Source organism: Homo sapiens, chromosome 2, assembly GCF_000001405.40.
Source record: "Homo sapiens chromosome 2, GRCh38.p14 Primary Assembly".
NCBI classification, from domain to species: domain Eukaryota; kingdom Metazoa; phylum Chordata; class Mammalia; order Primates; family Hominidae; genus Homo; species Homo sapiens.
Window position 1 is genome coordinate 40,197,529 of NC_000002.12, and position 21,614 is coordinate 40,219,142.

The following is a 21,614-nucleotide window of genomic DNA, read 5'->3' on the forward strand; positions in this document are numbered from 1 at the left end:
TTACGATAAAATTAGGTGCTTTCCCCCTTTAGCAAAAGATCTCTCTTTCATACCCACTTCTGGCTTGCATCCTCACTCTCTGGTAGGTCTGCTTCCATTTTCCAAACTCTTATAAGGACTCTAAAGGAAATTCAGTATTCTTAGAATGAGAGGAAACTGACTGGTTATTCCAAGTGAAACTGCTTGTCTCCCAGACATTTTCCTGTTGAAATTTTCCCCAGCTTGCTACACCTTTTCTCCACTTTCTATGGAACCAAGAGAGTGGTAGTATCTGTGAGGTTCAAGATAGGATCTATTGACAAAGCTCCAGAGTGGTAGTATCTGTGAGGTTCAAGACAGGATCTATTGACAAAGCTCCAGGGAAGAATGACTGTCCAGAAATGCTCCTTGGGAATAGCTTTTGTGGAAAGAAAGCAGTGCCTCCACCCCACATCTTTAGTTCTGGCAGCTCCCTATAGCGACAAAGTGAATATAGATCAGAAGGACAGGAGTGCATATCAGAATGGACCAGATGAGGAACAGCAGAGGAACATAAGATTCAGGGCAGCTCCAAACTTCTAGAAGGACTTGCCAACTCTGGTCAGTTGAAAAAGTCATTATATGAATATCTTATTTTTCTAAAATGAATGTGTGTTAGATTAAATGAAAGATATAGGAAGGGAACATGTGAACATTGGTAAAATATAGGGATTAGAAGTAAAGGAGGGATTAGTGTTTTGGAAGATAACGGTAGCAAAAAACCTCAAAACAATTGTGTTTGAAATCACATACACACTGGCCTAATTGACTGGACATTCTTACATGGAATGCTACTAACCAGAGTTCTTGTTTGCATTTCCCAAGCCTAGAAAGATGATATATAATTATCACCATTATATATTTATTTAGTGTGCTCTCTGAGATGCCCAAAACACTTGGTGACATATTTAATTAATTCATATCACTTCTATAAAATATTTCAGGTATTTAATTTCAGTTGCTATAAGAAAAATATTTATTGATTTCTTTTTTAAAAAAGACTGCAGTTGGTAAAACTGACCCAGAGTATAAATACAGAATGAAACCTGCAGTGAGAAATGAATTCCACAGTAATACAGATAACAAGGAGAATAAAACCCAAAGTCAGAGACCTTGATATTTGATTATCTTCAGTTGTTTGGAATGCATGGTTTGAGCATGCTCATGAGAACACTGGCATGATACTGGGTAGGTTCCCTCTTTAAGGCACTAACTACTCTGGAGAGTGACTCCAAAATGTGGTTTCCCACTCCTCATTACTATGACAAATTTCACATTAACTCAATTGTCAGACCCTTTCCCTGCTGATACAGGGTTGAAGGGTTGGCTTGGTGATCAATTCTTTGAGCTTTCAGAGAGATTTTGCAGCTTAATGGAAAGCTAATTTAAGGAAAAAAAAAAAAAGAAGTTGAACTAGGATTTGCTCTAGGGACCATAACATGAATGTTCTATTGTAAGCTTCTTGATGGAAGGCATTATATTTTAAAATCCTATAGTAATACAATTAATAAATACAGAAAATGCCAGCTGATATAATAGAAAATTGTTCAAGACTCCAAAAATTAATCTGATCCCATTTCAAAGTGAAGCTAAAAAGATGTCCATGTTTTTAGTTGTGGAATTTAGAGTATGTGATGGGGCCTACTTGGAATCCTAGTAGACAGAGGAATTAAATAATAAAATTTGCATTACTCAGATCTATCATAGTGGTGGAAATGGACACTGCTCACCTTGTGAGCCTTGAATGAATCAATGTTGGATCACTGGCTTGCAATGGATGAAGCTTGGCAGGCGTGGTCTTCCTGAAGTGGCACTCCTCTAGACCAACACATGATACTCTTATTCCATCATAATCATACTACAGAGAATAGACCCCCATAAGGACCATAAATATTGTTTGTCTGTACTGTACTGCAGGTGATCAAAACTCTGGCAACCAATAGGATTTATTTTCTAGAGGACAGATACTACTCCAAAACAATACTAGATCAAAAAGGAAGGCTTTAAAAATTACACAGAAGTGTTTGTGGCAAAGATCCCTCTTTGTATGTGTAGGACTATAGGTATTAAGATTCGGAAGCAAGCAGAACAAGTTCTGCTATACTATTTGCCAGGAATCTATGTCCTCAAAATTCCTCTCCTCATTTAGAAAAACACAATTACAAAAACTCAGCCATAGAGTTTGCAGTTTGACATGTTGCTGATTCTACATGATAATTGATCACTTCAAAACTGACAGGACTTACATTAGGCTCTTGTTCTTAGTTTTAGTTTTAACAGGGGAACCAGGAAAGAAAGAAAGATTGCTCATCAGTGGCCATATTTGGCAAAGGCAAGACTCTCTTCCCCCAATTCATTCATCCTGATAGAGATTGACACAGACCAGATGTTATTCCAATGTTAAAATTACATTGTTTTCATAACAAAGTCAGCTTATATTACTCTTCAAGAGATCACACTAATGCTCCTTTGTATACTGTTATGAGGAGGGTGAGTTAGATCTTTCCAGAGGACTTGCCAAGCACAAACTATAAGAAGAGTTAAGATTTTCTCAAGGCATTCACTAGCTGGCTTACAATCTACATATCTATGTGTCTCTGCAGCACATAGAGGATTTCAAGTCATTGATATATATATATATATATTTATATATATATATAAATATATATATATTTTTTTATATATATATATAAATATATATATATATATATATATATATATAACCTCTTTTAGTAATTTCTGATACTTAGAAGAAATTACAGGTACTTGTTCTTCAGGTAGGTTGAGAGCTAGCGATTTCATTGGCTAGAGCTTTTTTGTTGCTTATTTTCTTTGTCCTTTCCTCTCAGGTCATGGTGACCTTAAATTATGATTCCAATGCTTAAGAGTTTTATGTGTGCTATTTTTCCCATGTAACATCTGGAACTTGGAAGGTAAAAATTCCAAATCAAGGGCCAGAATCCATATGGGCTCAGCACATGTAAACCATAATTTTGGAAGCTTAGTCCCTCTTAGCCCCCTTATCATTGCTGCATTCCCACTTACTATATCACCTCTGTGGCCTTGATGGCAAGTTTGGGAACTGAGAACTCCTGAAAATGCCAACAAGCAGTCATCTTCAGGGGATTCTAATAGTAAAAGGCCAAATGAAGACATTCCTTGCTGACCAAGTCACCATAACTCTTAAACTATTGCCGTGAGCCAGAAGAAGGAATTTTTTTCTTTTAGCTTTAGAGACTTTGTCCTTAATTGACTTCATGCTTCTTATTACTCACAATATTCATTTTTATATAGTCGGTTTATATTGTAGAAAACAACCCACTTAAATATTTATATATGATAAAACTGGTGAGTATGAGTGAGATTATAAAACAAGTTAATATATTTAATATTACAAAGAATGCTAACATTTCTTTATTTCCACACAACACTCTCTTCTCTTCTTTTATTCTCTTCTCTTTTTGCCTTTAAGCAAAATAAAAAAGACTCAAAGTAAGGGCGAGAATTATAATGCCAAAATACTCAGGAATATCATTCAAATCTTGAACGGAGACCCCCACTCCCTCAAAAAAAAAAGAAAAGAAAAAAGTTATCCATAAATAATGTACTTCTCCTTCAAGATTACTAGGTTATGTAAGATAAATGCCACCATTTTCTCCTCATGCTACTTAATCTAAGAAGTCTTATGATTTTCTGTTTTTCAATTTCTTATGTTTTCAATTTCTTGTGACTTGTCAAAGGTATGACTGGTTGGGTTCTAATCAATATTTTTCTACTCATTCAACACTATTTGGCTCTAAAACCAAAACAAAATTCAATTTACAAATATATTATTTTTGTGGTAAATTTTAGATTGTCTATTACTCCAAACCAGAGATTTTAATGCTAATGTTTGTTTTGAGGAGAAATGAGAATTAAGCTTGATCTTGATGATCAACCACAGCAAAATTATCTCCAGTTAGGAAACACCAGTCTAAATTGAAGGTATAGTATGTCTCCACTTTCCCTGAATGACTACATGGTATTTTACTAAGCTTTGCCTTTGTAAGTACACACAGAAGGGTTCTTGACTATTCTGGCTTGAAGAACTTATGCTGAAATGAGTCATGTAAACCATGGCAGAGAGTCACAAAACTGGAAACATGGAAGGCTGTATGGTCATAGAAACACCTTACCAGTAGAGTACCCTGAAGAAGACTTCTTGTTAGCATTTGCATGAGTTCTTGGTCCCCAAACTTACCATCAAGGCCACAGAGGTAATAAAGTCAATGGGAAAGCAGCAATGATAAGGGGGTCAGGAGGTCATAACACAAACTATTGGAGGAGTTAAGATTTTCTCAGAGCATTCTCTAGCTGGCTTACAACCTACATATCTATGTGCCTCTTTGCAGCACATGGAGGATTTCAACACTGAACATTTGAACATTAGATATATAAAAGCATGTGTATATGCATGCATGCTGGTGTGTGTACACATGCTGGTGTGTGTACACGTGGAGGTGTGTGCACCCTAGACCTTTTTTGCTATACTATCCTTAGAGGATGTGTTTCCAAAGATTAGATCAGCACCATGGAGCAAAGTGCAAGGAATGAAAATTAATCCAGTGTTAACAGCTTTATACAGTAAGAAGAGTAGGTCAAAATGTTTAAAATTCTCATTGGGATCTATGAACAATTTTTTATGCTATCCTCTCCACCTCAAATGTCCTACTTCCACATCCTTGCACGTCCAAATCTTGCTCAATCCTTTTAGATATAGCTGTTAGGACACCCCTTCACAAAGCTATCTGTGATTTATCACTCAGAATTACCTCTTTTCTGAATTTACCATCAGATTTTTTTCTGTAAATTCACATGGTATAGATCACTTCCTGACTTGTATGGTGATTATGTTTCTACCTGATTGTTAATAGTGAACTATAAACATCTTCAGAACAAAATCCCTGTCTGCTTCAACTTTGCATTTCTGAATAGAAGGGGAAACAATCAAGAAATATTTACTGAATCAAAATATATAATGGTGGCCATATATTTTATCCTTTTTTTCTAAGCTAATAGCATTTCTCCCACTCTTAAAAGGCATATGCAGAAATCACCAAGGGTGATGTGACAGCATAACATTAGCAAAGTTTAAAAGTACACAAGAGCTAAACTGTGGATACCCACACAAACAGGGAGAGACCTACTTCCTGGTGTCAATGAAATTACAGCTCTAAAGAGCCAATATGTCATTTAATTTAAAAGTCACTGTTCATGAATTGCAATTACCCTCTGGCCTGCAAGCATGTGTTCATAGCTAAGAAATTTTCTCTATGCCCAGGTAGAATATATTGCTGGCTTTTCCAGGGGAACCTAATGCCAAATAGAATGGCACCTACATAACCAACTTGAGGCATGCTTTAAAAAGTGTCCCTGTGATAAGCCACAAGAAATGACAGACTATGTTGAGGAACTCAGTGACTCTACAGCCATGCTAGGCTTGGAGCCCACTCAGACAACAACATGGGATTGTTGTTTTTAAGCCAATTGCTCACAGTCGATAAAACAAAAGGATTAAACTTTTGACAGACTTTCCCTATTCTCACCAACTGGCTAATGCTAGTGCTGCTTTGCTCAGGCCTCCTTAAGCATGTTTACTTGCAATTCCTTCCAAATGTCACTTACTAGAAACTGCATTCCTGATTCTGGAGGTAATAATCCTGGAGACACAGCTTTCATCAGCTAATGGGTAGTGACTCAGAGTATATCCAGAGACAAACAAATTAAAGAGCATGGAAGATTGGAGCAAACAGCTAAAGAACTTTGTTGTGATATATTTAGAAAGCAGGCATTCTGTTCCCCAATAACATTGTGCTAATATTGGTGCTTTCCATTTACTGGATTTGATTGCCAGCAAAACCTAAACAGAAATGTTTTACATCCATAAACTACTCCCAAATCATTGGTCTGAAAAAATGCCATTCTGTAATATGCCTACTGCTAACACTTCCATTAGTTGCTCAAGAGAAATGCAAGAATAGCTTAGAGGAGTCTTAGCCAAAAATATATAATTCTGACATATGGAGAAAACCAATGCAATAATTTACAAAAGATTAACTGTTAAAGTGCTGCTAAAGGTTGGGGGGATTACTTTAATCAAATGCCTGCATTCTAATATGGTGAGGGTTATTTTATTTTGAGACAGGGTCTTGTTTTGTCACCCATGCTAGAGTGCAGTGACATGACCATGGCTCACTGCAGCCTCAACCTTCTGGGCTCAAATGATCCTCTACCTCATCCTCTGGAGTAGCTGGGACTACATGCATGAACTACCACACCTGGCTAATTTTTTAATTAAAAATTTTTTTTTTGTAGAGATGAGGTTTCACTATGTTACTCAAGCTGGTCTCAAACTCTTGGGCTCAAGTGATCCTCTAGCCTTGGCCTCCCAAAGTGCTGGGATTATAGGTGTGAGCCACCGTGCCCAGCTGGTGAAGGTTGAAAACAATTTTACAAACCACATTTAAGTGAGGAAGAAAAACATGTAGAAAGATCCCTGTGTTCTTTAGATGACATTTGAAAAATGCACACATGCTTTTAAAAGCCATTTGTTGCACTTACTCTTCAGGAGGTATGCTTAAATGTCTGTTCAGAAAACATCTTAAATTTGGGATACATTGTTCTGTCTTTTAAGATTGCTTTAGACTGCTACTTACTTTAAAAGAATTGTGAGATTACTCTAGGTGTATGTTTATAAAAAATTCAAAGTTCAGAAAATTCCTGTAAGCCCCTTAAGAGCATTTTAATTGTAGCATTTTTCCTATGATCCTTTAAGAAAATCCGCTACGGGTTTTCAGATTATGTTTCCACCCCAGTTGAGAGTAACCACAATGACAACTATGTACTGCAATTTGCAGCAGAAATGACTACACATTTCTGCCCTTAGCTGAAAGAAAAACAACCATATGGACCTTGTTCTTAGCCAGCGCTCCATTAGCTAATTAAATTTACAAAGCCCAACCAGTAAGAGAACATGGATTAGCCCCATTCTAATGACTCTATCCCTTTGGCGGAGCTAATGTTGTCTTGTTTCAGAGCAGACTAGAGAAACTTGACTTACTTTGAATAGGTCAGACAGGTTAGTCCAACAGAAATACAATGCAAGTCACATATATATGCAAAAAGATAAAGGTGAAAATTTAATAATAACTTTTATTTACTCAATATATCCAACATATCATAATCTTAACATATAATTAATATAAATTTTAAGATTTTTATATTCTTTTTTTCATACTAAATCTTTGAAATCTGGTATTTATGGTTACTGCACTTCTTAATGTGGGTTAGCCACATGTCAGTGATTTAATAGCTACGTATGACTAGTGGCTACCATATTGAATGGTACAGGATTGAGTGGTGAGATGTGCCATTCCATCTTCTTTCCATTGTTCACACTCATAATCTATTTCAGGAGTACAGTGCTTCACTTTTCATACGTGCATATCAGCTGGGCATATAGTCATTTTAAATTCTGAATTAACCTGAAGATGAAAGAACAGTGGCCAACTTATTTCCTTTTAAGAAAAACTGTCTCTAGTTAAAAATACAACATGCATAAGTATGTGAGGTAATGTATAATTATTAATAGCTCAATTTAGCCTTTCCATAAGGTATACCTATTTGAAAACATGTTGTACATCATAAATATATAGTTTTCATCAATTTAAAAATAAATAAAAACATCGTTTATAAGTCTAAAAAGTGCTAGGGGCAAAATAAGGCCCTCTCTCTAGCCTATTGACCCATTTTGAAGTAAATGATTACAGCTGTGGAATGCTTCAAGGAACTTAAGGTATGATGTGACAGCTTGAGTTTGAAAGTCTTCTCTCGTTCTTTTTTATGACTGCATAGTATTCCATGGTGTATATGTACCACATTTTCTTTATCCAGTCTATCACTGACTTTGCAGGGACATGGATGGAGCTGGAGGCCATTATCCATAGCGGACTAACAAAGGAACAGAAAACCAAACACCGCAGGTTCTCACTTACAAGAGGGAGCTAATTGATGAGAACACATGGACACACAGAGGGGAACAACACACACTGGGGCCTTTCAAATGGTGGAAGGTGGGAGGAGAGAGAGGATGAGGAAAAATAACTAATGGGTACTAGGCTTAATAACTGGATGATGAGATAATCTGTACAATAAATCTCCATGACACAAGTTTACCTATGTAGCAAACCTGCGCTTGTACATCTGAACTTAGAAGTTGAAAAAATATCTTGAAAAAAAAAAAAAAAAGAAAAAGTCTTCTCCTAAATTTAGGCAACATTCTATTTCAGTTGAGCTGTGTATAACTGGCCCATGGGTGCAGGGATCACGTTTTCCTACCTAGAAAGGGAAACATGATCTTACAAAGGAATTATTTGTCCTTGTATGATTTGGTGACACAAAAATTCTCATTGGGGCATGAAAATAAAATATATTTAATGAAAAGATTTGATTGGAAAAAGTAAAGTTACAGAAAACTAGGTTGTTTTCAGAGAATTCAACAAACTTAGGGTGAATAAACACTAAAGTTCTACTTCACAATTATAATTGAATCAACAAATGGATAGAAGCTATGAAGAACCAATTAGGTTGTGTCCTTACCTAATTTCTGGAATGCTAGTGTGAATAAGCCTGTGCCATGACAAATATCAGAACTGTGGACAATTATTGAATTTTAGTCTTAAAATCAGGGTACTTTCCTCAACTTCTAGAATCAAAAGATGTCACTTCATCATCTTGGAACATTTATTTTAATCTGTCCTGAATGTAATTATTTGATCAAGCTATTGTCACAAAATCCTATTAACTCAAAGAGTGATTGCATTATTCACTCCTTACTCATTTCTTGATTTCAGTGCTTATTAAATGAAAGTTTTCAGGCAGCCAAAATGAAGGATAACCTTAAGGATTCTTCCTTCTTTTTAATTTTAGGAATTGTATACTGTAGTTTATCATAACAACATATCTAGGCTGCAGAAATTCAGGGAAGGCCTGAAGGTTTTAATAAAAATTAAAAACAAGACCCATCAAATGATCCAAACACTTCCTTTGCTTATCTTAAAACACAAGAATCAGAACCAGCAGAATGAGCTTTAGGCCTGGGAACAAAATGTCAGAGATAAAATTGGTATACTATTTTCACCCCTACGATCTACATGGTTGAGGGGGTTTGAAGGAAGTGAAGAATCAGATATGTTTCTGAACCAGGACTCAAAAACAAGTTTTATAATTGCAATATCTTCTTAAGAGCTCGGCGAAAATGGTTTTCATTTTCTTCTTAGATTCTTTTAAGAGGTGCCACATTGTAAATGATCATAATGGCACAAAATGTGAATTCATGTGGAAAAAACAGGCATTAATGATTCTGAATACAGAAAAGCTGGATTCTGAAGGGAAGAAGTCTTAACTAATTTACTTCAAAGTATTTTCCTTATGATGTATGAAAAAGAATGATAAGATAAAAATCTATTTAATTAAGACCAAAAACATCTCTGTAGGTTTAAAATAAAATTTGTACGTGGTAAGAAAGCATTGTGTCATGGTTACTTATGGGCATTTTTTCTTGGTTAGTGATACATAAAATAATGGTATATACAATCAATGCTGTCTTAGGTTCAATTAAAGATGATGTGACTCCTACATCTACTTTATTTCCTAGGGCCTTTTTTTCCAAGTGATATGTTCCATCCACTGGGAGCAATTTTCAGCTGGCCAGACACCTTCCCATTATCCCCGAAGCAGTGTGATTTTATCCTTTTACATGAACAATGCCCTTAGGGAGAATGACAAAGATACTGGCTTTCTGAATGGCAATATATTGGATGGTCTTATCTATAACTTTCTCATTTTTCCTATACAAATGTTGGGTTCTATTTCTTGAATAAGTTCTACAGAACTCATGATTACAGTTTCATAAAAAAAAAGTGATCCAAGGTATAATAAAATATTTTTTTAACCTTGGGTTTTCAATATAACTACTCGAAATGACTTTAAATGCTACACAAAATATATTTTTATATTAAACAAATCCACATTAAGAAGATGAAAATAATATAAAATGATTGCTTAAAAAATATGGGCATAATGTCCCCATATTACAGATTCTGGCTCCAAGTTTCTAAGTCATATAATGGGAATCATGTCTTCTGGAATATTTGGTTTAACGGTGTGTAGTGCCAGGGCTAGAAAATGTGTTAAGTTGGTGAAACAACTACCCTTTCCCTTTTTTTAGTATTTCTAGAGTGTTACCCTTTGGGGCTCCCACCAGTTTGGAACCTGTTTTACTTAGAGTGTTTTCTAAAATAAGGCACCAAAATATGTGCTAGGGCTGCACATATTCAAAGTATGCTGCAGCTCTGGGAAGTTGGGCAGATTGAAGTAACCTTAGGGTCCGTGAACCAGACCTCCTTCACAGCCACAGCACTGCAAGAGCTTCCTCTCTTCTTGTAAACCAAGCTATCAAAGATAACTGTTACATACATGTATATTCACCTCTGACACCTACAGCCAAGGAATGAGATGAGAACATGAAGGAAGAAGTTAGGCGCAGGAAAAATAAAGGGTGTTAGTAGTGTCCAGCTTGTAGAAAGAACTCAAATTATGCCTCAGTCCAGTGAGCACTGAAGAAAATTCCTCAAGTTTCTCTCTGGGCCTCTTGCTTTCTAGTTCCAGCTCTCTTTCCATAGTCAAGGTTCCAAAGGCCCACCTCCTCTCCTCATCAAATGCTTTTTGCAAAAACAGATCTAAAATCTCAGATATACACATGACAGATAACTGCTTGAATTTCTCTTAGGAATCACTAGGTACTTCTAAATCACTGGAGAGTCAATCTGAAGTCAGATGCATACTCCCTGAATATTAGTCTTTCAGGTATCACTGGGCAGGAAGGGGAGGGAATGGAGAGAGATTCTGGGCCATGTGTGTAAGAGGGAGGGCAGCTTGTCTGAGAATCCAACAGGAACTCCCTTTTTTCTAGGCATCGTCCAGAGATTTTGGTTACAATACTTGGAGGTAAAATTATATAGAGGGTAATGGTTTTCTCTTTGGCACATCAATCAACTCTGCTCTATGATCCTATAAACAGGAAAGAGTTGCCAAATTTGGGCACCAGAGGAATCCTTGGGGCTCTCAGCAGTCTCCTCTTCTTACCACAATGCAAAGCAAACAAGAGTTGAAATGAGAAACCAGAGGGCAATTAGTGTCCTTTTTTTCCTTCTCCTCTCATGTATCCATTTAGGCTTTAATGCACTTTAAAGAATTCAGAACACTGAGCACCAATAAATGCTTACTTTTCAAGGGAAAAGAATCCAAGAATGTCAAATTTGGAGGCCTTTGAGATGGTTTAGTCCAGATGTCAGACATCATTCATTTAGTAATTATTTACAAATTCAGTAATTATTTACAAATACCAATTATATGCCAGACACTGTTCTGAGAACTAGCTACAGATCAGTGAAACAAAAGAAGAAAAAAAAAATCCTTGTCCTGTCCTTGAGATGAGACAGGTGCATGTAATATATAATAATTAAAGTATTTAGTATGCTAGATGTGCTATGGAAAGAGTACAGGAAAGCTAGGGAGATGAGGAGTAATGAGGTGAGAGATGGCAGTTGAAATCTGAAATAGGATCATCAAGGTAGGCCTTTCTGAGAATGTGACATTTGAGAAAAGAGTGTGAGGAAATGAGCAAGTTAGCCATCTGGATTATTTGAAGGGGAGGCAGGGGCAAAGACAGTCCAGACAGTACACATATGTGCTAAGACAGGAGCGCCTCACCTGTGTAAGGTTTAAGGACATTTCTATGGCTGGAGAAAAATGATCCTGGAGGAAAGGTGAGAGTTAAGAGTAGAGTGAGGGGAAGTGGTTGGTGGGGCCAGATCACATGGGCCATGTAGACTCTTGAAAGGACTTCTGAGGGAAATAGGGAGCCACTGGAGGATTTTGAGCAGAGAAGGGATATAACTTGACTTATACTTTACAGGATCACTCTAGCTACTCTGTGGAGAACAGATTGTAGAGATAAGGGTGCTACCAGGGAGGCTACTGTGGTTCCCGGCAAAGGATGATGGTGCCTCAGGACAGGATAGTAACACTTAGGAAGACAGAGTATAGAGTGATAGACGCTGGCCCATGGGTAGATGTGGTCATGGGAGTCTGCGGAGAGTCTCTTCTGATTGCTTCTATTTTCTCAGGGAGACAGGAAGCAAAGCAAGATCATCAGCTGACAGTAAGACACAGGAGGGGAGGCACTGGACATCTGAATGGGGAGAAGAAGGCTTGACTGAAGTAGCTAAGACAGTGGCAGAGGAAATGGACTAGGGAAATACAGATTGACTTATGACATCATCAAGTGCCTACTACTTAATATTGCCTCTGTATCCACAGCTCTCAAATCTCCAGGCAGCCTCTATTGATTGATCTGAGTTGGCAGATGAGTTGGCAGGTGAGAGAATGTATATTTGCTAGTTCTAATCTAATCTAATTCTGCTTTAGTAAACTGAGGCCTAGACAGTGCCTTTTAAACATCTATCTATCTTTGGGGAGGGTTTAAATTATGAATTACCAATCAGCTATGGCTCCAGTAAGGAAAACATATACAGTACCTATTTAAATATCATGTAGCAAGAGGGCCTGACAACTAATGCTCTTGGGAATTGATGCTATAAGAGAAGGGTATGAAGAGCTGCAGATGAGTGCCTGAAACAAGAGCTTTATTAACACAGCAGGAAGAAGATACCTGCTGGCTGGATTTTCACTGAACTCATAGCTCTTTGCATTTGGGCTCAAGGTCTTAATCTTCTACAAGTAGTGACTTCAGTTTCTAAAGGTTTCAAGGGGATCATCCAGTGCTTGTCTTTTGAATAGACTGGCATGACTTTTAAACAGGACCCAACCAAATCACATTTGATTTCAAGAAATTGAAGGGATAATTAAGAAAGTGTTAGTCACTACTGAATGTAGTGTATATGCTTTCTTCGGAATTTTAAGGGGGGAGAAAGGCCCATTAAGTCATCTTAAAAGGGCTCTTGCTGTAAAATGAAAGGTGGAGAAGGGGTAAATCTGAAATGCAAATGAATTTCCTGTTTCACCAGAAATTCAGTATTATCTAATGAATGCTGAGTAATTGAAGCACTTATTGTCATTTCTGCACCCACACTGGGAAATGGTTTCTGACCTTTAGATTCCCTACTCTTCTGAATTGCTTCTCATCAGCTCTCTCTTTATTCTCACTCCCACTCAGTTTACTTCTTGGAAGGCCTGTTGACCTTTACCTTTTTGTCATGTACAGAATACAGAATGGTTATGTATATAAGGTATCATTAACATCATAAGGCTACATGCAATTATAAAAGAAGATGAGGGATAACTTACACAGGACATAGTCCTTGCTAGATTTTATCAAGACCCTCATTTTCTAGTGGTATATCACCTTTGGAAAAGCCAGGCCATTCTGAAGTAGGTCTTTGTCTTTCCAGTCTAGAAATAATTGTTATGTCAAGTTCAGTGATAAAATGAATGGCTGCCATTGGCTGAGGACCCACTGTGGGGCATGGAGCTAGTGGGCATCTCTCCAGTCATCTCACAACAACCTTGCTCATCTCTTCCTTTTAATTATTTTACTGTGCATACTCATGAGATCTGAAACTCATGTACGTTGGCACCTTTAACATAACTACACTAGTTCTTCCTATAAAGTTTTCTAATGATAGTGGAACTTTTAAATTCAGTTTAGTTTTTGACATTTTATTTGTCTTTTTGAGAAGCCAGTAGGACTTCAAAATGTTGGGCTTTTCCAATAGACAGCTAAAAATGTAGACCTGAAGTTTACAAAAATGATTAGAGCTAAAGGTATAGATGGGAAAGTCATCAATGCTGAAGTGATAGTCATTATGTGGAAATTTAGCAAAGGAAAGATACTTGGAGGCATGCTAAGTGGTTGAAAAAGGCATCTTGGAAGATTTTCATGTTTAGGTGGTGGGAAGAGAAACACAAGCCAGAAAAGAATCCCTCAGGGACAATGAGAAAAGCAGAGCAGCAGACCCTGTGAAGTTATGGAAGTGAAATGAATGGATCCTGAAGGTATTTCAAATGGTTTGGACTATCAGGGCCAAAAAAGAACTTCTGGAAATCTGGACTTGGACAAAATCAGTCATCCTTAAGGGGCTGGATTCAGCAAAGAGGTAGATGAAAAACCCAGGTTCTAGGGTCCTCTTTTATTTCATGGGAGTGATACAGAATCCGGATCACTTTAGAAATAAAGCAAAATAATTTTTCTGAAGATGTGAACAGTGAAGTGATGTGTCTGTCACACACTAAAAACATAAAAGATGATGCATGAATAAAATAGGGAACAGCATCACTAGTTAATGCCCACATAATATCATAATTCTATACCTAATCCAAATTTGATGAACAAAATATATTTAGAGCATAAATAAAACATTTTCAATTGTTCATAATATATTCTCCAATGCACTGTATTTGTCTTGGTTTGAAAAATCCATAAAGATTTTATGTAATTTAAATAAGCAATGAAGAGAGGAAGAGGAGGAAAAGGATTTCAATATGGCCCAGAGAGAGAGACAGAGAAAGAGACATAAATCCCAGTTAATCTAAGGGAAGACTTTTAAGTCATAGTTCCTCATTCTGGCGACTTATCTGTTACTTATTTCCAGGTGCTAAACAGAAGAGATGCAATATCTTTTTTTTTTTTTTTTTTCCTGAGACAAGTCTCGCTTTGTCGACAGGCTGGAATGCAGTGGTGCGATCTTGGCTCACTGCAACCTCTGCCTCCCGGGTTCAAGCGATTCTCCTGCCTCAGCCTCCCATGTAGCTGGGACTACAGGTGTATGCCACCATACCCAGCTAATTTTTGTATTTTTAGTAGAGACGGGGCTTCGCCATGTTGGCCAGGATGGTCTGTATCTCCTGACCTTGCAACGTGTCTGTGTGGTCCTCCCAAACTCCTGGGATTACAGATGTGAGCCACCATGCCTGGCCGAGATGCAATATCTTGAAGGCATCAGGGATCCTGTTGTTTCTCTTCAGATCTATAAATCTGCTGCCTTCTGAAGGCATTAGGAGCACCTCAAAGAAAGCAAGATGGAGCATTAACAAGTGAAGACTCTTCTTCTTTTCTTTTCTTTCTTCTTGCTTGCTCTTTTCTCTTTCTGCATCAACAATTTCAAATTCTTGGGCAGAGTATTGCTTGAACTCAGAGTTCCTGTTTGTGCAACAGTGCTGCCTTCTGCTATCAGCCACATGTAGACTTAGTTGAGGAGTCCTATGTGTAGATTCATAAATTTAGGGCAACAAAGCATGTGTGTGTAGGGGGGTTGGGCAAGAGAGCTAAGGCTAAGTCAGGGCCAGAAGTTGCCTGTAAGTAGCTCTGTAAAGCACCCATGTCTGATTTGTGGAGGTGACATCATCATTAGCTGCAGATCAATACTGACCAGAATTTAAGGTACTATGCCATAGCTTTAAGTCTTCATAATTTAAAGATGACTAAGTTGTCTCTTCTCTGTAGGTCTCTACTTTGAGTTAGATGACTTCAGAAATGATCACACATTTCATGTCAAATTTCCAGGCCTCAAATTCCTGTTCCCAGTGATATGAGTACCCACAGATAATTCACTGGTAAGATCACCGAGTGACCCAGGAATGAAACCTACCATTGAAGATGTTTATTTAGAGCTGTATCCACTGTCCACAGCCAAGGGAAATAGCCTTTTCTAGACTGGATATATTTGACCAGTAGATGGAGTAAGTGGATCCCAGAACCACCAACTAACCACCCAGAACCTGCTGATCAATGCTGTTGTCTTTCAATATTCTATCAAAAAGGGACAATGCCATCACCAGCAACTAAATCTTGAGCTTAAGGTGCATCTTCGGCAGGTGAATGTCATGTGTGACAGTTGCTCATGGATGAATGAATAACCGAAAGGGGCACCAGCAGTAGCAAAGTACTAAGATACTGAGGAAACTTGGGGTACTTAACCAAAGTCCCTTCATTTCTTCACAATTATGCTTAACACCAACCAGCCCAGCATCTGACAAACAATCCCAAGGACATTTTTTCCCCCGTCATCTCAAATATTTTTTCAAAAGTGATCATTTTACTCTGTGTTTTGGTAGAAGGGGCGAAGTCCACTTTGCAGCTGGTACAACAGAAACTAGAGCTGCATCAATTCTCTCACACTGCCAAGCCTTTCTTCTGGCAGAAGCGCTGGGGATATTACACTGGGGATAATTCATCAAGCTTGCTTTGGGTGTTCCAAATTTGCAAGCTGTGGCTAATTTCCAGAGACTTCAGGGCAATAATCTCTGCTTTCCTAAAAGAAAAACAGTAACCACACCACCTTTCAATTAAATGGGTCATGGAAAATGAATAGCCACAGATGATCACAGATATTCAGAAATCCTCAGAAAACCTAAGTGTGTAGCCAGTGGTAGAAATGATGACTGTGTGGCTGAAGAAGTCCCATTTGATGAGGGCTAGGAATCTGGCATCTGCGTCTGCCTCCACATTTGTTTCTCCCCATACATTTTCCATGTATGAATATGCACACACATGCACATGTGAAGCCTCACATGTTCAAGACCAAAACATATTGCTGGATATTAACAAAAGGAATTATAGCCTCTTCAGCTATGAATCAGGTGAAGTTTTCCTCACAGTCTCTGGAGTCTGCTTTGCCCACAGAAAAGCAGACTTCCTTCCCAGGTCAGTAAGCCATGCTGGAGAGTTGCCCTCAACCCCGCAACTCTCCCCAAATATATCTGCTGTCTTTTATGCTTTCCAGGCCCCGTGTTCAGAAGTTGTTTAGCAGATCATTTCTTTGTACACTATCTTTTTTTTTTTTTTTCCTCTTTTCTGAGATGGAGTCTTACACTGTCTCCTGGGCTGGAGTGCAATGGCGCAATCTTGGCTCACTGCAACCTCCGCCTCCTAGGTTCAAGTATTCTCCTGCCTCCGCCTCCCGAGTAGCTGGGATTACAGGTGCCCAACACCACACCTGGCTAATTTTTTTTTTTTGTATTTTTAGTAGACACGGGGTTTCGCCAGGCTGGTCTCGAACTCCTGACTTCCTGATCCGCCTGCCTTGGCCTCCCAAAGTGCTGGGATTACAGGCGTGAGCCACTGCATCCGGCCTGTTTGTTTGTATATTATCTTAACTCATATAATGGATCAGTATTTTTTTGAGAATTTCCAGGCCAACATTCAGAAGAATAACATATGGTAGGCATTTTAAGCAATTAATGGATAAAGGAAGGGATATTTGAGGGCTGTCTCATCCCAAACTACCTTAGTTTTTTACTCTGGATTTTCCTTTCTATGGATATGTCAATGATTTTACCGGATCAATTCTCATGGAGCAGTGGACTAGTTTGGGATGGTCCCTACTTTCAATTTCAGGAACACTGTAAAGTCAAACAGAACCTTATGAGTTTTATATTTGCTAGTTCTTTTTGTGCTATGTATTTATTATATGTGTAATTTAATAGTTTCAATTCTTTTCTCTGCTAAAGTATTTATGAGTTGTAGCACAGAGAAAGAGCTCAATATATGCTAATTATTATTATTAATATTATTATCTTTAGAGATAGGATCTTACTCTGTCTCAGGCTGGGGTGAAGTGGTGTGTTCATGGCTCACTGCAACCTTGAACTCCTGGACTCAAGCTATCTTCCTGCTTCAGCTTTCCTAGTAGCCGGGTCTAAAGGTACACACTGCTATGCCCAACTAATTTTTTAAAAAATGTTATGTAGAGGCCGGGCGCAGTGGCTCACGCCTGTAATCCCAGCACTTTGGGAGGCCGAGGCGGGTGGATCATGAGGTCAGGAGATCGAGACCATCCTGGCTAACAAGGTGAAACCCCGTCTCTACTAAAAATACAAAAAATTAGCCGGGCACGGTGGCGGGCGCCTGTAGTCCCAGCTACTCGGGAGGCTGAGGCAGGAGAATGGCGTGAACCCGGGAAGCGGAGCTTGCAGTGAGCCGAGATTGTGCCACTGCAGTCCGCAGTCCGGCCTGGGCGACAAAGCGAGACTCCGTCTCAAAAAAAAAAAAAAAAAAAAAAAAAAAAGTTATGTAAAGACAAGGTCTTGCTTTGTTGCCCAGGCTGGTCTTGAACTCCTGGCTTCAAGCAATCCTCCTGTATCAATGTAGTGTTGGCATTACAGGTCTGAGCCACTGTGCTTGGCCTATGTTAGCTACTATTATTATTATTACCTTATAATTGCTAAAGCCATCTACCTGAAAATCTATTCCAATCATTCCATAGTTCTCAGCTCCAAAACCAGTGGAGATTTGTTTTTTCATAATCCTACCAAACTCCTCTGCACTGGTGTCATATCTGACAAAATACCCAGAATTAATTGCCAATGGGTGATCATGGGTTGACATATAAGCCTTCCCAGTGTATGCTTTTTTTTTTTTACAATTTTTTAAAAATTTTACTTTAAACTCTGGGATACATGTGCAGAACGTGCAAGTTTGTTACATAGGTATACGTGTGCCATGGTGGTTTGCTGCACCTGTTGACCCATCCTCTAAGTTTCCTCCCCTCAACACCCACCCACCGACAGGCCCTGGTGTGTGGTGTTCCCCCTCCCTGTGTCCATGTGTTCTCAATGTTCAACTCCCCCTTATGAGTGAGAACATGTGGTGTTTGGTTTTCTGTTCCTGAGTTAGTTTGCTGAAGATGATGGCTTCCAGCTTCATCCATGTCCTTGCAAAGGACATGATCTCATTCTTTTCATGGTTGCAGAGTATTCCATGGTGTATATGTACCACATTTTCTTTATCTAGTCTATCATTGATGGGCATTTGTATTGGCTCCATGACTGCTATTGGAAATAGTACTTCAATAAACATACATGTGCATGTGTCTTTATAGTAGAATGATTTATATTCCTTTGAGTGTATACCCTGTAATGGGATTGCTTGATCAAATGGTATTTCTGATTCTAGATCCTTGAGGAATCGCCACACTGTCTTCCACAATGGCTGAACTAATTTAAATTCCCATCAACAGTGTAAATGCATTCCTATTTCTCCATTGTGTCGCCAGTCTCTATTGTTTCTTGACTTTTTAATAATTGCCACTCTGAATGGCATGAGATGGAATCTCACTGTGGTTTTGATTTGCATTTCTCTAATGACCAGTGATGTTGGGCTTCTTTTCATATTTTTGTTGGCTGCATGAATGTCTTCTTTAGGAAGTGTCTGTTCAGATCCTTCGCCCACTTTTTGATGGGGTTATTTTTTTCTTGTAAATTTGTTTACAATCTTTGTAGATTCTGGATATTAGATCTTTGTCAGATGGATGGATCGCAAAAATTTTCTCCCATTCTGTAGGTTGCCTGTTCACTCTGAGGATAGTTTCTTTTGCTATGCCGAAGCTTTTTAGTTTAATTGGATCCCATTTCTCAATTTTGACTTTTGTTGCCATTGCTTTTGGTGTTTTCGTCATGAAGTCTTTGCCCATGCCTAGATATTGCCTAGGTTTTCTTTTAGGGTTTTTATGGTTTGGGGTTTTACATTAAAGTCTTGAATCCATCTTGAGTTGATTTTTGTATAAGGTGTAAGGAAGTGGTCCAGTTTCAGTTTTCTGCATATGGCTAACCAGTTTTTCTACCACCATTTATTGAATAGGATATCATTTCCCCATTGCTTGTTTCTGTCAGGTTTGTCAAAGATCTGATGGTTGTAGATGTGTGGTGTTATTTCTGAGGTCTCTGTTTTGTTCCATTGGTTTATATATCTGTTTTGGTACCAGTACCATGCTGTTTTGATTACTGTAGGCTTGTAGTATAATTTGAAGTCAGGTGCATGTTATTTCTTGACCTGAATCTTTCCTTTGGGCTTCAGTTTTTATTAGGCTTTTCCTTTGTCCTGTATAGTTTCTTGGATGCTTCTCTTCTCTACACTCAAGGTTTTCTTTCTGTTGTTGTTGTGTAGGCAACACAATAGATGTCATCTTTTGGGAGGCTTCCTAATGCTGCTTTTGGTGTTCTTGTGAGCTCAGAGGATTCCTACTTTAGAGTGAACTGTAATGTCAACCTCTACCCTAGACAATGAGTAGGAACCATATTCAATAGAATAAGAAGGTGAGGCTTTGCTAAAATTATCCCATCTGTCAGTCTGTGAAACCAGTAGTTTGAAGATTGTAATCACAACATTGACACACATAATGTTAATTTCAAGCAGTTACATAACTTAATTGATAAGTCAATCTAAATCATACCTGCATGGCAACAGAACTAGGGTTAGAAAGTGAAAAATATTGTTAAGTAACCATATACTTCTCTTAGATTTGATCTGGCAGCAGACATTTCTGTATTCTGAGATAAAATAGCTGTGGTAAACAGATTGTGTGAAGGCATGCATTTGCATCCAGGCCTACAGGACCAATATTAAGAGAAAGGGAACAATTAATTTGTCTCAGTGGGGTAGTAAAGAGACACAGCCTTCAGAGTACTATGGGAGGTTATATTTCAACTTCTTACAGTTAGTTTGTAAATCTAACTGTAAGACTGGCATTGTTATTAATGAAAGTTTCAGCTAAGAATGAATTAGATCTAAGTTACACTTTATCAGTATTTATTCTTCCTGCTACCTATTAAGGGCACCTGAACTGCTAGGCTTACATAAAAATGTCCCATTTCCTGTTGCTAGCTGTGCTTTCCTTTGATAAACTCATTACAAATTGCATGTAATTACTGTATTGTGAAGAAGGGAGTGGCAATAAATTAGGCACAGAATTTTTGAATAAAACTAGGCAGCTAGAAAGACTGTTTCTAAATAACAAAAAATTTGATATGACCAAGTAGGTTAAAATTACCATTACATATTTGATTGGTACAAAATTAATTGTGGTTTTTACAATTACTTTTTAACATTTTGCCGCTACTTTTACTATTTTGCCATTACTTTTAATATGGCCCATTTTTAATGGCAAAATCTGCAATTAATTTTGCACCAACCTAATATTATCGTATATGGAATTTTCTGTATATAAAGCAAAGGGAAAAAAAAGGAGGCATATAGACCTTAGCTTATGTACTTTATGATTATAAATGATTACATTTATCTAGTGACCATAATGCTTTATGAAAGATGAAAACATTCTTCTGGGGGAAAAAAAAAAAACTAATTAACATCCTTGCTTGCAGAGATTGGTAGACCTGTTTCTTCTATTTTAGATTTCAGCAGGACACCTCTATCGTTGGATGAAAAATGCTGACTTGCATGTTCTGGGAATCTGGGCTCACCCCGAGGCTAATAGCACAGTGCCCTGGCTGTGTGCCCAACGTTTGTGGCAGGGAGTTACCCCTGAGTGCTTTTTTTAACTTACACTAAAGTTTTGACTTAGAAAGCAATATTAGCTAGTGCTTCACAGGAAACTGGGCTTTCCCTCTGTAACACTCAAAGTCAAATCCTATTTCTTGGTCTGATATAATCTCCATAATCATAAAGATCTTTGTTGGAGAAGTTAAGCAGGGAAGACTACATGTAGGATTCTCCTAATCTTGGGGAACCCAAGTTTTGTGCC

The 21,614-nt window shown here is 38.0% G+C and overlaps 1 protein-coding gene and 1 long non-coding RNA gene across 24 annotated transcripts in view, besides 1 other annotated feature; one reads left to right on the forward strand and one right to left on the reverse strand.

Moving 5' to 3' along the window:
- The window catches only part of SLC8A1-AS1 (SLC8A1 antisense RNA 1), a 337,576-nt gene that overhangs the window by 279,895 nt on the left and 36,067 nt on the right, over window positions 1-21,614 (forward strand). The gene's annotated exons all lie outside the window — the stretch shown is intronic.
- The window catches only part of SLC8A1 (solute carrier family 8 member A1), a 415,166-nt gene that overhangs the window by 100,259 nt on the left and 293,293 nt on the right, over window positions 1-21,614 (reverse strand). The window lies entirely within an intron of this gene.
- Window positions 12,918-13,512: an enhancer, noted in NCBI's record as "OCT4-NANOG hESC enhancer chr2:40437586-40438180 (GRCh37/hg19 assembly coordinates)". NCBI's record gives its function as "activates a minimal SCP1, AML or CMV promoter by ChIP-STARR-seq in primed H9 embryonic stem cells {active_cell/tissue: H9 hESC(primed)}" and the evidence as "EXISTENCE:reporter gene assay evidence [ECO:0000049][PMID:30033119]".